The 14308-nt window shown below is 48.9% G+C and overlaps 1 protein-coding gene across 9 annotated transcripts in view, besides 11 other annotated features; it reads left to right on the top strand.

Moving 5' to 3' along the window:
• Nucleotides 1423–1972: a silencer, noted in NCBI's record as "silent region_7144". NCBI's record gives its function as "represses an Ori minimal core promoter by ATAC-STARR-seq in GM12878 lymphoblastoid cells {active_cell/tissue: GM12878}" and the evidence as "EXISTENCE:reporter gene assay evidence [ECO:0000049][PMID:35858748]".
• Nucleotides 1423–2219: a biological region, named in NCBI's record as "H3K27ac hESC enhancer GRCh37_chr16:3930393-3930969".
• Nucleotides 1643–2219: an enhancer, noted in NCBI's record as "H3K27ac hESC enhancer chr16:3930393-3930969 (GRCh37/hg19 assembly coordinates)". NCBI's record gives its function as "activates a minimal SCP1, AML or CMV promoter by ChIP-STARR-seq in primed H9 embryonic stem cells {active_cell/tissue: H9 hESC(primed)}" and the evidence as "EXISTENCE:reporter gene assay evidence [ECO:0000049][PMID:30033119]".
• The window catches only part of CREBBP (CREB binding lysine acetyltransferase), a 155660-nt gene continuing 143249 nt past the window's right edge, over nt 1898–14308 (top strand). For 8 of the 9 annotated variants that reach the window (XM_047433625.1, XM_047433624.1, XM_005255124.5 and 5 more), the window contains exon 1: nt 1898–2779. In XM_047433625.1, the coding sequence (XP_047289581.1) occupies nt 2695–2779 (85 nt within the window). In that variant the 5' untranslated portion in view covers nt 1898–2694. The remainder of the gene's footprint in view (nt 2780–14308) is intronic. The other variant, NM_001079846.1, reaches the window with a different exon arrangement.
• Nucleotides 1993–2042: a silencer, noted in NCBI's record as "silent region_7143". NCBI's record gives its function as "represses an Ori minimal core promoter by ATAC-STARR-seq in GM12878 lymphoblastoid cells {active_cell/tissue: GM12878}" and the evidence as "EXISTENCE:reporter gene assay evidence [ECO:0000049][PMID:35858748]".
• Nucleotides 2380–2689: a silencer, noted in NCBI's record as "silent region_7142". NCBI's record gives its function as "represses an Ori minimal core promoter by ATAC-STARR-seq in GM12878 lymphoblastoid cells {active_cell/tissue: GM12878}" and the evidence as "EXISTENCE:reporter gene assay evidence [ECO:0000049][PMID:35858748]".
• Nucleotides 2730–2779: a silencer, noted in NCBI's record as "silent region_7141". NCBI's record gives its function as "represses an Ori minimal core promoter by ATAC-STARR-seq in GM12878 lymphoblastoid cells {active_cell/tissue: GM12878}" and the evidence as "EXISTENCE:reporter gene assay evidence [ECO:0000049][PMID:35858748]".
• Nucleotides 2860–2909: a silencer, noted in NCBI's record as "silent region_7140". NCBI's record gives its function as "represses an Ori minimal core promoter by ATAC-STARR-seq in GM12878 lymphoblastoid cells {active_cell/tissue: GM12878}" and the evidence as "EXISTENCE:reporter gene assay evidence [ECO:0000049][PMID:35858748]".
• Nucleotides 9909–10203: a silencer, noted in NCBI's record as "tiled region #1734; HepG2 Repressive non-DNase unmatched - State 19:H4K20". NCBI's record gives its function as "represses a minimal TATA promoter and a strong SV40 promoter by Sharpr-MPRA in HepG2 cells {active_cell/tissue: HepG2}" and the evidence as "EXISTENCE:reporter gene assay evidence [ECO:0000049][PMID:27701403]".
• Nucleotides 9909–10572: a biological region, named in NCBI's record as "Sharpr-MPRA regulatory region 1734".
• Nucleotides 10037–10572: an enhancer, noted in NCBI's record as "H3K27ac-H3K4me1 hESC enhancer chr16:3922040-3922575 (GRCh37/hg19 assembly coordinates)". NCBI's record gives its function as "activates a minimal SCP1, AML or CMV promoter by ChIP-STARR-seq in naive H9 embryonic stem cells {active_cell/tissue: H9 hESC(naive)}" and the evidence as "EXISTENCE:reporter gene assay evidence [ECO:0000049][PMID:30033119]".
• Nucleotides 11109–11403: a silencer, noted in NCBI's record as "tiled region #6998; K562 Repressive DNase unmatched - State 8:EnhW". NCBI's record gives its function as "represses a minimal TATA promoter and a strong SV40 promoter by Sharpr-MPRA in K562 cells {active_cell/tissue: K562}" and the evidence as "EXISTENCE:reporter gene assay evidence [ECO:0000049][PMID:27701403]".

Here is a 14308-nt window from a genome sequence, read left to right as displayed (position 1 = left end):
GGAGTGGGCTAGGAGGGCTTCCTGGAGTAGGTGACATTTGAACTGGGTTCTGGAGGATGAGTTAGAATTTGCCAGGCATGTCTTCTCAGCACAGGGACCAGCATTTGAAAAAAAAAAAAAAAAAGCCTGAATGATGTGAACTGCCTACTGGCCAAGTGGGTGTAGGATGATGATGGTGAAGTGAGCCATGTAAAGTAGAAGAGACAGATTCAAGAGCGGTATCACGGCCCAAGATTTTGAGCAGTACAGGTAAACAGAGAAAAGCAGAACGATCACTCAATCTTGACACTCAAGGACAGTCACCATATGTACATACACCTATGTTTTTAAGAGAATTCATACGTGTTCTTTTTTAAAGAAAGACTATGTAGTGTTTTCTTTTTCTATGTCTGGGATTTTGTTTTGTTTTGTTTTGTTTTTGAGACGGAGTTTCACTCTTGTCGCCCAGGATGGAGTGCAATGGCGAGATCCCGGCTTACTGGCCTCCCCAGTTCAAGTGATTCTCGCATCTCAGCCTCCCGAGTAGCTGGGATTACAGGCGCACGCCGCCACGCCCAGCTAATGTTTGTATTTTTGGTAGAGATGGGGTTTCACCATGTTGGCCAGGCTGGTCTTGAACTCCTGACCTCAGGTGATCTGCCACCGCGCCTGGCCAGGGAGTTGTTTTAAACAGATTTTCTCCCTCTCTTTTCGGGATGTTAACTCTGGTGCTGCGTGGGGAGCAACGTGGAGAGCAAAGAACACTTAAGTGAGTAGCTGCCACCATAGCCACCGGGACAGTGCGGGAGGAGCAGTCTCCCAGGTAAAGACCGTGGGTAGAGGGGCGCGTGGCGGGTGAGAGGGAGGAGTCCGCGCTGACTCACGGGTTTCTGGCTTAGGAAACAGTGGAGCTGCTGATACCTTTATGAGGAAGCCGGGCAAGTTTGGAGGGGCAGATAACTAACTGGGATGGGAACACCTCGGGTATTCGTAGAAGTGTCCCGCGGGCTGTGGTCTCGCGTGGGGGACTCCCCAGGCCCGCACCCCTGTCTGGGGCACCTGCGAGGCGCCAGGCAAGTTGCCTGGGGCGGGGAGTGCGGCCTGAGCGTCCAGGCTTAAGCCCCGATGCGCGGGCCCTTCTCCGCCCAGGCCGGCCCTCGCCACCCCGCTCTCACAGGTGAGGGTGTCTGCCCTGCCGCCTTGGGATGCGAACAGGCGTGAGGCCCCCTCACTCCCTAGTGTCACGAGGTAGGGCGGGACCCGAATCCCGGCCCTGCCACTTCCTGCCTCGACCACTTTGGAGCAGTTGCTCGCCCCCCGCCTCAGTTTCCCCATCCGCCCACCTCGTCGGCAGGACCCAAGGGCGGTCTGTAACCTGCAGAGGCCATTCCACTTCCCTGGCCGGCGGCGAAGGCTAGTGGCGCGGCCTGGGCTGGGGTCGCCCCGACCGTTCCCGACCGACGCCACCTAGGAGGGTCTGGGGAAGGGGACGCGAGGAGCTGGGAACACGCAGCGCCGCCCCAGCGGGACGGGCGGGCCCGGGCTGGCGTCGAATCCGCGCCCGAGAGCCCAGCCCGCGGCCAGGCCGCCGCTCCCGGAGCCCGCTGGGGCCCGGAGCCCCGGCCCTCTACGCCTGGTCGCCATCAGAACAAAAGCTGTGGCTCAGCCCGGAGCCCAGGCGCCCCGCAGGCCTGGCCCGCGCCGGGCCGCCAGCTTCCCTACGCTTGGCGGCCGCGCCTTCAGCCCTTCGGCCCGAGCACGCTCGGCTCTTTCCGCCACGGCCGGCGCAGGTGGAGGGGGCGGGGCGGGGGCCGTGCGTGGTGACGCCGCGGGGGGGTGACGCACCGGCGTGCCCCGCCCCCACCCCCTCCCCGTTCAGGCTCTGGAAAGAGAAGAAAAAAAACTTTCTTTTTTTTTTAATTGAGGAATCAACAGCCGCCATCTTGTCGCGGACCCGACCGGGGCTTCGAGCGCGATCTACTCGGCCCCGCCGGTCCCGGGCCCCACAACCGCCCGCGCACCCCGCTCCGCCCGGCCGGCCCGCTCCGCCCGGCCCTCGGCGCCCGCCCCGGCGGCCCCGCTCGCCTCTCGGCTCGGCCTCCCGGAGCCCGGCGGCGGCGGCGGCGGCAGCGGCGGCGGCGGCGGCGGAACGGGGGGTGGGGGGGCCGCGGCGGCGGCGGCGACCCCGCTCGGCGCATTGTTTTTCCTCACGGCGGCGGCGGCGGCGGGCCGCGGGCCGGGAGCGGAGCCCGGAGCCCCCTCGTCGTCGGGCCGCGAGCGAATTCATTAAGTGGGGCGCGGGGGGGGAGCGAGGCGGCGGCGGCGGCGGCACCATGTTCTCGGGGACTGCCTGAGCCGCCCGGCCGGGCGCCGTCGCTGCCAGCCGGGCCCGGGGGGGCGGCCGGGCCGCCGGGGCGCCCCCACCGCGGAGTGTCGCGCTCGGGAGGCGGGCAGGGGATGAGGGGGCCGCGGCCGGCGGCGGCGGCGGCGGCCGGGGGCGGGCGGTGAGCGCTGCGGGGCGCTGTTGCTGTGGCTGAGATTTGGCCGCCGCCTCCCCCACCCGGCCTGCGCCCTCCCTCTCCCTCGGCGCCCGCCCGCCCGCTCGCGGCCCGCGCTCGCTCCTCTCCCTCGCAGCCGGCAGGGCCCCCGACCCCCGTCCGGGCCCTCGCCGGCCCGGCCGCCCGTGCCCGGGGCTGTTTTCGCGAGCAGGTGAAAATGGCTGAGAACTTGCTGGACGGACCGCCCAACCCCAAAAGAGCCAAACTCAGCTCGCCCGGTTTCTCGGCGAATGACAGCACAGGTGAGGAGGGGGTCCGGGGCGGCGGGGGCCCGGGGCGCGCTGTCACCCCCACCTGAAAGAGAGCGTCCGGGGGTCGTGGTCGCGGATACCGATCGAGCCGGGAGCTCGGAGCAGGCCCCGCAGCCCGTTCCCCTCGCCCCGCGCGGGAGGGTGGAAGTTCGTCGCAGGACTGTCACTGGGCCCGAGTTGGTCAGCACACGCCCGGTGCACTCGGCCTCCCCGCACCCGATCAGCCCTCCTCGCGGGGACCCTAGTGGCACTCCAGGAGGGAAGAAGTAAAGTGCAGCGTGTGGGTTTGTTTGGTAATGTCCTACGCATCCATCCGCGGCCGTGTCCACACGCGTGGCCGTCCAGAGGAATGACAGCGGAGGGTACCTTTGATGCTTAGAGAAAGCAAGATCGCGGCCAAAGGTAGGGCAGTGTGTTTTCTGGATTGGCGACACATTGACCAGGCTGCATTCAGAGGACACTCACAGCAGCCGCCAGCTTGCGAGTTAGAACCGAAGTTTCTTGGAATGAGTGAGTTCCTTGGAAAGATGCTTAGTGCTTATTTTCAAAACTCCTTGTTTTGTGTGTGTGTGTGTGTGTGTGTGTGTGCGCGCGTGTGTGTTTTTAGTCAACTAGTCATTCCATTTTTCAAAACCCAAACTTCGTTAGCAAGATGTCATGAAAGTTGCTGTGGTGTGTTTCATTTCCATGTATAACTTCAAAAGAAAGTTAAACAGCAGGTTTAAGTTCATTTGGGCTGCAATCTCCATTTGAGTTTGTGTTGCTTTCACAGTGTAGATGTACAAAGAATTAAGGAATGTAGGAATTCCAATTTTTCAAAAAAATGGAGCAGGATACTGAATAAATCATCTTTTTGTTTGTTTCCTTTCATTAAACGGCTTCCCTGGAAACTTTCTTAAGTTATCATAGCTGCTTAAGAGAAGTATTTAGTTTTCTATTAATTCAGTAATTCTGGGTCCCACTGCGCTGGTTCATGGTAACATGAACTAGTTGTATTTCCTCTTTTAGAGCTCTCTCCTTTGCCGCAAAAACTTGTGTGCCGCTGCGAACAATTCCATCTCCAGCGCAGCTTGCATTTCTCCAGTAGTCTTGCAGTGGTAGCATCTGAAAATCAGTTTCTAATGAATGAGTCCAAATTGAATTACATCGCTGCCTTCAGATTTGCACTAGACACAGCTGTTCAACTTGTGGAAATAGTTCTGTGACCGACCACTAGCATATTAAAAAAAACTGCTATTGCTGTTGAAACAAAACCTGAATTTTGTGGCTTAAGTTTGAATACAATTCCTGGAATCAAGTTATGATAAGCGACGTTTAATATTAATGTAGAAGTGAAAAGCGATTTTTAAAGATCAATCATAAGGAGATTCTTATCTAGTTAAAATTTGTTAAACAGTGGGGAGGAGTAAATGATGCTCATGGTATATAAAAATCACTAATGCTTTTCTTTTTAGCTGATAAAAGTTGAGTTTGACGTTAATCTTATAAAATGAACTTATTGAAGTGAGAAATTTGGAAACAGTAGTTTAAATGCCGTTGTACTGCAAAACAGATCTCCGTTGCTTCATTAATCTTGCTGTGTTTGAGTAGTCTTCAGTTCTGTGAGACGTAGGTCATACGTGGCGAGTTCAGCTTTGAAGCTTGTCTTCTGAAACTGGTAACCTGGATGGCTTTGTAGCTTTGCTGTTGTTGAATGAATTTGTTGTAGATTTTGTCTTAAAAAGGGGGACAATTAGTAACACAAGACTTAACAAAAAGGCATGTCCTTATATGTACATCCAGCTGTTTCCAAGATGGAGCCCAAAGGTTAGCTTTTTCCATAGTAGTGTCCATTATTGGATGATCAGATGCTTAATAAGTTGATCAGAAAGGATTTTCCACACTTAACCACCTTTTCCCCCTTCCTTTACAATTTTGATCCTTGTAAGGCACAGGGGCTCTTTCGTGGGACCAAAAGTCAGCTTTAAATGGCTCCGATTTAATCCAAAGTAGAAAGTCAACATCATACTTAAGTTGGGTCATGTGTTACACATTCATCACCATCACACTATTGTGAAAGGGTCTGTTAGTATGGGGGACCAAGGAAGGGCTCATTATCAAGCACATTAAACAAGGGGCTGCTGGGCGCCATGGCTCATGCCTGTAATCCCAGCACTTTGGGAGGCGGAGGCTGGTGGATCAACTTCAGGTCAGGAGTTCAAGACCAGCCTGGCCAACATGGGGAAACCCCATCTGTACTCAAAATACAAAAACATAGCCAGGCATGGTGACATGCACCTGTAATTCCAGCTACTTGAGAGGCTGAGGCATGACAATTGCTTGAACTCGGGAGGCAGAGGTTGCAGTGAGCCAAGATCGCGCCACTGCACTCCAGCCTGGGTAATGGAGTGAGACGCTGTCTCCAAAAGAAACGAGGGACACTTTGTCTGTTGTAACTGCTCCACTAAGAAATTGAGTAATGAGATGGACAGAGATCTTAGGGATGTATTTTAAACAAATAAATGGCTTGAGTTTTTACATTAAATACATTCAAAAACTGAAGGCATTTGGTTAGGTGGGACAGACCTGAGAATAACATTCTTGAGGAACTCAATCTTATTTTAGTGACGGGATGTGTCTCTGAGGCTCCCAGGGGAAAATTGGGCCTAGTGGAGCAGGGTGTGTGCCCGGTGCATGTGATCAAATTTGAGGGAGGGGACCTCTGTCTAGGAGCTGAGGGGTTGAAAGGAGGAGGAGCCCTTGGCAGCCTGAGAAACAGGATCTACTTGGACTGCAGTGCATGTCTGTAGAGACTGGCCTGTGGGGCCACCAGTGTCACTTAGATGTGTCTGTGAAGGGTGGCAGTGAGCTGAGAGAAAAATGCACCCGACATTGGGGAGCTGCTCAGCCAGGGTGCTGCTCATCTGGGGGCATGGATGTTGCAAACAGCACTCCCGAAGGTCATGCAGCACCTCAGAGTGATGAATGTCACTGCCACTGATGACAAACAAGTTGCCGAAGCCTGGGAAGCTTATGCAGAGATGATGCAGAAATACGGAATGTGCTGCGAATGAGGGTAGCAAGAGAGAAACGGTACCTTTCACCCCACTGAAGCAGCAGCCCTGGAGAGGCACAGAATTTGATGGCCTCAGATGTTAAAGTAGCATTTTCTTGTATTATGTAGAAGCCTTTACACTTTCTCATACATGAGGTCTTCCTTTACTTGGCACCCTTACAATAAGTGGGGACTTTATATTACCGGTATATAGTTAGTTGGGTGTTTTGGAAACTTCTTTATTTAATATGTCCAAGTTAAAATAGCATATTGTGTCTTTCAACATCAGAGATTCATGATTTAACAGTATAAGACAAATATCCAGGCAAGCAGTAGACTTTTGTTTTTTGTTTTCTGGGTTGTTTTTTTTTTTTTTTTTTTTTTTTTTTGGTCAGCTTTATTGCAAAATTTGCACACAACAGACTGTTTATAAAGTTTTTTGAAATTGCAGGCCAGGGTGGTGGCTCATGCCTATAATCCCAGTGCTTAGGGAGACTGAGACAGGAGGATTGCTTGAGGCCAGCAGTTGGAGACCAGCCTGGACAACATAGTGAGACCCCATCTAAACAAAAAATTTTTTTAATTAGTTGGGTGTAATAGTACAATCCTGTAATCCCAGCTATTCAGGAGGCTGTGGCAGGAGGATCGCTTGAGCCCAGGAGGTCGAGGCTGCAGTGAGCTGTGATCATGCCACTGCACTCTGGCCTGGGTGACAGAGTGAGACCCTGTCTCTGGGGGAAAAAGGAAAAGAAAAACTACATTCTGAAGATTGAACATAGCTGTGTTTCATCCTGTGCTGTATAAGTGGCTCTAAGCAGTTGTGATTACATTTTATGACGTGAATCCTTTTAAATGCAATAGGGAAGCTTATTTAAAGAAAGCTGGTGGCGAATATGGTTGTCAACCAAATGGTCTGTTATGTATGTCTGGTACTTTATGTATCAGAGTGCTTTTCTCCACGTCACCTCAGTTTGATCCTTACAGCGTCCTGTGAGGAAGGGAAGATGCTGTTACTGCTATTTTCTAGGTGAGGAACTGGACTTGAGAGGTGATACAGGGTCAAAACCAGATCCAAACTAGATTGTTAAAGTCCGTAGCTCTATATATTTATTTTCTAAGTCTCTATCTGTAAACAATGCATTTACTTGAATCGACCCAGGAACCTGCCAAGCTTAGTGAGTTTCAGTAGCGGCCTTCCCGCACATGAATGAGATCACTAAGGGGGAGGTTTGTAACCACCTGTGGTGGGGGCAGCCAGGAGTGTATTCTTCCTCCTGGGTTAGGGCGTCCCCCTTTTCCCTCTGGTTCTGGTGTTATCCTCAGCGTGACGTGTGTGGGCTCGTGTTCCTGTTTACCTCAGGGAGAATGAGAAACGGTTATGTTACCCCATCAGTGAGTTCTGGCTAAGTAGGAATAAAAGTTGTCATAGAGACTTTTAGGACTAGGACATTTCATGACCGTGCTTCGTTTTTGAATAACTGAGAGGGGTGAGAGCGGTGGCCCCATTCAAAGGTCGTCAGGGATGAAGGTAGGCAAGGACAAGTCATGTGCAGGGCGCCTTAGAGGGCCTTCAGAAGATGGAAAGTCGCTCCTGGCTGAACATTCAGATTTGATTCTGTAAACAGAATTGAACATAACTTACAAAGAGACTGAGTCCTGCAGTTGGAAGTTGATGCTTAGATTAGTCGCCTGTGTTTTCACAGCTTCTAAGTAGTGTGTTGTAATTGTGTGGCAAAGTATGTGATTACCTGGGGGGTCCATAATTGCTGACTTGTGTTTTTACTTGATGTATTTGAAAACAGTTAGGAAAATGATTTTGCCAAAGTGTGTCTTACCTTAGTTAAGATGAAATGTACCTTATTGTGAGTTTCTGAAGATTGCAAAAGCTTGTCAGTTTAGTTTTTGGGGTCCCATTAGTGAGGGCACCCCTCTTTACCTTACTCAAACCAGCTCTTCACATGTATTCCAAGAAACTAGAGGGCATGCTAAGAGGTATTTCTCAACAAATGGTTTGTGCTCAGATGCTGTTGCTTGTAGCTGAGGAATTTGACTGCAGACTTTCCCAGAGCCTTGGTGTCCTGATTGGGCACTGTGAGAGAGGGGCTACAGTTGGACCACTCTCAATCCTGTTTGACGCTAGAACTCTTTTTAGCCTATTATGGGTCCGCAGACTTCCTCTGCAAAGGGCCAGAGAGCACGCATTTGGCTTTCTGAGCCATATGGTCTCTTGTTGCAACTACTCAAGGCTGCCATTTCAGCAAGAAAGTAGCCATAGGCGAGTGGGCCTGGCTGTGTTCCAGTAAAACTCTAGTTGTAAAGACTGGCATCTGAGGACTTCGCCCATGGGCTGCAATTTGGTGACTGATATAACGTGGGACTTCATTCTCTGAGCACCCGTTGGGGAGCACTGGCCTACCACGGCTGCACAGACAGCTTTAAGGAAAACAGCAGCAGGGCAAGTTTTCTGAGCTGCATGATGTGGAGCCCGGGAGAGCCCAGGTGAGCAGCAGGCTAGCTTGGGTCTCCTGTCTTGGAGCACTTCAGAGCTTAGCAGGGCCCTCTCTCTCTGTCTTTTTTGTTCCTCTGTAACAGTTATATGGATGACTTGATTTAAAATCAGACGAATTTATCAGAAAGCCTGGTGACCGGTTGCATTTTTCTTTGTTCTTTTGCTTTTTGTTGACCCCAGTGGCCCACATGGCATTTCTCGTCCGTCTTTGTCATCTCAGGCTCTAGGCTTGCTCCCCTTCCTGTGACACCAGAAGGTGAGCGTCAGTAAGAACTCCAGAGCCTTTCCACGGCCCTCTTCCCAGCACTTCCCTCCCCAGGGGCAGTGCCTGACACATAGTAGGCCCTCAGGAAATATTTGAGGGAATTAGTGAAAGAATTATATAGTATTTGTCCCTTAAAGTTCTTATCATTTTCTTGTTAAGGTTTTACTTTCAAGCAGATTGCCACCTATCTTCTAATTGGGTCTGTTATTTGCTTCCGAGTTCCGTACCCATGGGCTCCCACCCGGCCACCAAACCAGCTGGCCTTAGGAGTGCTGAGGCCAGAGCATGTTTGGGGCAAGTTACATCAGCTCTCTGAGCTCAGAGTTTCCTCATCTGTAACATGGAGATAATAACAATTCCCATCTCAGGGTGGTTATGAGGGTAGCCTGAGATGATGTGTGTCTGGCATATCCGCCCAATGGGAACTGACACTAGCGTTAACCAGGGACGTTGTCGTACCTTGTAAGTCCTAGGACTTACTGGGAGTGCTAGTCTGATTGGAGCAAGACCTGTTTCTCAGCAGTTCTGGAAAGGACAGAAGCCATGTGTGCTCGTATCCACAGAAACCAGTGTGCAGGCACGCGTGTGATAGTGTAGCACCTCAGCAGATACATAGCCGGGAATTCTGTCATCTATACCATTGACTCTGTCTCCATTTTTTATTGTATTTTTAAAAATAGGAACGTGATGGCCATGAAAGCTTAAAATTACGAAAACTTAAATGGTGTGTGTTCTGAATTATTTTTTCTTTTAAATCAAATCAGGATGTACACTGAAAATTATTGATAATTTTGAAGCATATTTCATGGACTGTTTAAGCAGCAGACAAGTATGTGATTCTGTTTGTTTACTGTGTATAATTTATCTTGAGGTACCTGTTAAGCATTAGCAGTGTACACAGGATTCTGATAGATGCCTGTGAGTACTTAGAACCATCTTGAGAAGATGAAACCTCGAGGCAAAACTTAAGGAAAGGGTACAGAAATGCAGTCAAGTGCAAAAACTCTGGAACCAGAAAGGGTGATCTGAATAAGGCTTCATTTACTCCCTCCCCTGTTTCCTGAGTGTCCCCGTGTGCAGAAGTCCAGGGCCGCATGCCCCAGTGGGAGGCAGGCCCTGGGATGGTTGAGGAGCCTTGGGCTCCTGTGACAGCTCTTCTGCTGAGCCAGCACAGAGCCAGGAGTTGGGGAAGCCTGCCTGTTTTCCATGCATTCCTGGTTGTTGGGAAAAGCACCCTGACCATGACAGTTTGTTTCCTGGGGTATCGTTGTAGGCCCATGGCTTGCTCACATCTGAGTCCTCTTCTGGTTGTCCCGTCTCTCCTAGGCTCTGAAGCTCCTGGCCGTGCCGTCTGCTTTTTAGCACATGCGCTCAGCGTTCCCTTTAGTCCTCTCTGAGGTCTTTTCCTTGCAGTGCATCCCTCCGGATACACTCCTTGCTTTAACTGGAAAAGGATGCTGCTCTTCTCAGTCAGGCTCAAACTTGGCTTTCGGCAAAATTCTCCTATTGCATGAGTCTTTGATGCAGAAGTGTAAGCCTTGGGAGCAGTGCCTGTGGGGGCTTTTGCCTGTTCTCCTTTCCCTGGGGCCGTGCTCTGCTGACAGGGGTGCTACAATAGGCCACGAGCAGAGTCCCCGGGGCGTCCTGGAGTGGTCAGGTCTTTGCCATTTGAGCTGTGACTTGAAGAGATTTGAGCAAGGGCACACAAATCAAATTGGGCAAGGCTGTGTGAAAGGCATGGAAGTAAACAAAAGTGGCCCCTCTCTTTTTAAAGTTTTTTTTATTAAGTTCCTAGACAATATAGGCGGTGACTGTGGCTGTATTTAAAATACTGCCTTTAGGGTGTTTTCTGGTTCTAAATTTAGGAAGCAAGGCTATTTTTGAGCTCTGTCTCTAAAAGTTGAATTCCTTTTAAAACTTACCCTTAAGAAAGATTTGGATATTATCCCGTGTGACATTTTCCCCGGTGTTTCATTTCCATTAATCAAAAGACTGTTTAGTTGAACCATTGCTAAGAATAGTAAAATCTAATGGGGAAAATAATTCTACATGATTAAATCTGACTTTACTTTCCCATTTCTAGTTGTACTGTCTGCTATTGTTTGAAAATGTCTTAATTTGCCTTTCTAATATGCCTGTACTATATTGTATACAGTAGGTATATTTTCCAGTTGCACCTAATTCAACCTTTCGAATTTGCATAATCTGTGGTAAGGAGAAAAAGTAGTTGTGTAGTGGAGTTGTACAATTCTGTTGTAAAGCAAATCTTTTTATAATTCACAAGCTGCTTCTCCTCCCCCTAGTTTGGATTTTTCTTATTAAAACTGCACCACCTAAACATGTTTTAACTTTATGGTTAAAATAACCAGTGAAATAGAAAAATAAGTCACTGTTCTGTATGATAACATGTAGAGAAGGCTTGTACAACATTTAAATAAGGAGATTTGGGTATTTGATTACAAACTGAATGAGGACATTCAGGAGCTATAGAAATTTATCAGGTAATTAGGGTTTGCTTAGACAATTATAGACTCTACGAGTTTGACCCAGTTGCTTTGGATTAAAATATTTTGAGTATTTGTCACCTGATTAAAAGTAGAACCTTCTAACTGTGAGTCACAGTTGAAGGAAATGTCAGCTTTTTATACGGGGAGGCGGTCAGTGTGGTGCTGAGGAGGGAGCCCTGGCTCCTGCTCAGAGTAGACTGTGAGTCCCAGCTCCCAGCTCGGCAGCGCTGTGACTTGGGCTGGTGACATCACATTTGAGTTTTGCAGGGTGGGGTGTGTGTGTGTGTGTGTGTGTGTGTGTGTGTGTGAGTGAGAGAGAGAGAGAGAGAGAGATCTCTAAAAGGGGCTTTTTACCCTGCAGTATTCCATTTGTTTCTTTTCTTTCTCTTCTCTCTTCTTTCTTTCTTTTTTCTTTCTTTCTTTCTCTTTTCCTTCCTTCCTTCCTTCTTTTTTTCTCTTTCTTTCTTTTCCTTCCTTCCCCTTCCCCTTCCCCTCCCCTTCTTTACATTACTTTTCTTCTTTCCAATGGGGTCTTGCTTGCCCAAGCTGGTCTTGAACTCCCATCCTTCAGCAATCCTGCCTCGGCCTCCTGAGTAGCTGGAATTACAGGTGTGAGATGGAGCCACTGTGCCTGGCTCTACTTCTGCTTACTTTGATTATCTTGGTACATGGGGCTACTAGGGTGCCTGGCATATAGCAGGTTGAGGCAGCTGTTTTTATTGTTTAATTGTATGGGAAAATATTAGCCATCACCTACTTCTTGGGCCAGTGAGGACTAAGATGATGTAGCCTGACCCGGAATCAGGAGGCTTCTCACTGAATACATGGGAAGCTTCTGCCCCTGCCTGTTTGGCTTTCAGTGCCAGCTCTAGTGCAGTTTGGGAACCAGTTTGTAAGAAAACGAACTAAGATTCGAGAATCTTACAAAATGGGTAATCGTTTGACTCATTTTACTCCGTCTGTGTTTGCAGTTCAACTGTTTTTTATTGGAAAATTGAACTCTTAATTAAATGGAACTCTGTTTCTAGTTATTGCTTCAGAACAAGGGCTTGATTTAGATTAGGACTTAGAGAAAAGGGAAAAGTAAATGCAGAGAAATTATAAATATAGTATTTTATTGAAAACAGAGTTGGGAAGAAAATGGCCTTGGGATCACTGTCCAGTTTAGTCAGGTTGGTTGAAAGGAATACCAGTGAAACTCAATTGCCTCTCGGGCTCAGCTACACAGATCTTGAAAGGAACAGATTCAGCTCTGTGCTGTACTGTGTGACTTTTCTCCTCCTGCAGATTCTATAGTAGGAAATTCTTTTAATGGAGATTACTGTTTTTCTGTTCTCCTAGATTTGGTGTGATTTTTTTTTTTTATAAGTAAAAGTTACCCCGTGGTGGACAAAATTTTTCCCCGATTTGTGGATATCTTTACTTAAATCTGATTTACATATTCAGAACGTCACCTTTATTGAAAATAACAAAAAGACATAACATATTGATAGGTTTTCTGTGTCATTGTGGTTGTTCCTCTACTACTGTGGGAATCGGTTTTTGTTTGAAGAGCACACCTGCCCGTAGTTGAACTTCTGTTGAGAAGTCTCTGAGGGAATCATTTGAATGATGGCAAGAGAATCAAGTGTTTTGCTTTCACTGATGGCTTTCTCAGTCACTGAAACTTTAGGGGAGAACGGATTCTTTCCCAGGAGGAAGAGGGTGAATTGAGATGTTTCCTTGTTTGGGGATGCCTGTGTTCTCGGGATGCCCTCCAAGCCAGCGCTGTCCAGTGGTCGTTATTGGGAGGGCGGCTCTACGCTGTGTCTATATGACACAGTACTGGAACCACGAGCCACGTGTGGCTGTTGAGTACTTGAATTGTGATTAGTGTGACTTAGGAACTAAATTTTAAATGTTACCTGGTTTGAGTAAATGAAGATAGCCACATGTAGTTAGTCACTACGGTATTGGACAGCACAACTGTAAGTACATTTACTTATCCTCTTTGTCTAGAGTTTTCTTTAAGATACGTATCACCTAGATATTTATGACAAAGTTCCTTTAAAACGATCATCTTTTAAAGATGCAAGACTCCAAATTAAAAATGATGAAAGACTCCTTCAAAAATATTCACGGCTTAGGTCACACTGTTCAGGATTATTCACTAATTTAGAAAATATTTGTTATGCTGTGATGTAGGCCCTGGCGATCCAGTGGGGATGTGACAGGCCCCATCTCTGCCCTCATGGGTGGTGATGGATACTGGACAGGTAACTGCAGTCAGGTGTGACCTTGGAGGGGACATACTGTGCATTGACTGAGGCACCAGATGGGGACTGAGCCTGTTTTGAAGGGTATTGGAAGTCCCCGGGGGCTGTGACGTTAGCACTGACACCTGAGGGTGAATAGGAGATGGCAGATAGTACTGTTCCAGGCAGAGGGAACAGCACTCATAGCAGGGTGGAGGTCTGGCTCTTGTGACAGTTTTTGGGTTATGTTCACTGGGCTACCAGAATTTAGGAGGCCTCATGGTTTTGCTTCTGAGATGGTGGAGACTAAAGGTGTGGTTCTGCCCTGCGGGGGTTGGTCGGCCCGGGATCCAGTCTTGACTCCTACCACTTCATTCTTTTATTCAGCAAATATTTAAGCACATTTTACGTGTGGGGCACCCTGCTGGGCTGTGGTGATGACAGTAGTGGCAGAAGCTGCTTCTGTCCTCATGGAACTCTGAGTTGTGTGGTGTGGTGGGTGAGCAGTCCCGTGGTGCCCACCGTGGCCTATAGCATTTCACACTCAGCTCGATGTCTGACTGGAAGGAAGTGGATGCCTCAGGCTGGGTGGTCAGGGAGGCTTGTTGGAGGAAGGACACCAGAGCTCATTGAGGGTGAGTAGAGCATCAGCTTGGGCATCTGAAGGCGAGATAACATCACCAAGGGCCTTGAATGTCAGACCTAGGAGTCCAGGTTATTATTTTTTTTTAGGGCTTATAAAACAAAATTAAGCTTTAAAAAACCCGTGTCCAGAGTGATTGGGGGAGCTCCTGTGATTTATTTTCCAGAAGTCTAGATTAGCTTTTTCAAGGTGTGTTTTTTCATCCAAGTTCAGGTCTGTAGGGAGAGTAGACAATGCTTTCCCCTCCTGAGCCCCGTTTTTGGCAGGAAAAGGGCCCCATGAAAAGCAGCTTAAGAACTGGAACTAGTGTTCTTATTTAAGATGTTAG

This window comes from Homo sapiens, chromosome 16, assembly GCF_000001405.40.
Source record: "Homo sapiens chromosome 16, GRCh38.p14 Primary Assembly".
NCBI classification, from domain to species: Eukaryota; Metazoa; Chordata; class Mammalia; order Primates; family Hominidae; genus Homo; species Homo sapiens.
This window is presented reverse-complemented; position numbering and strand designations above follow the sequence as displayed.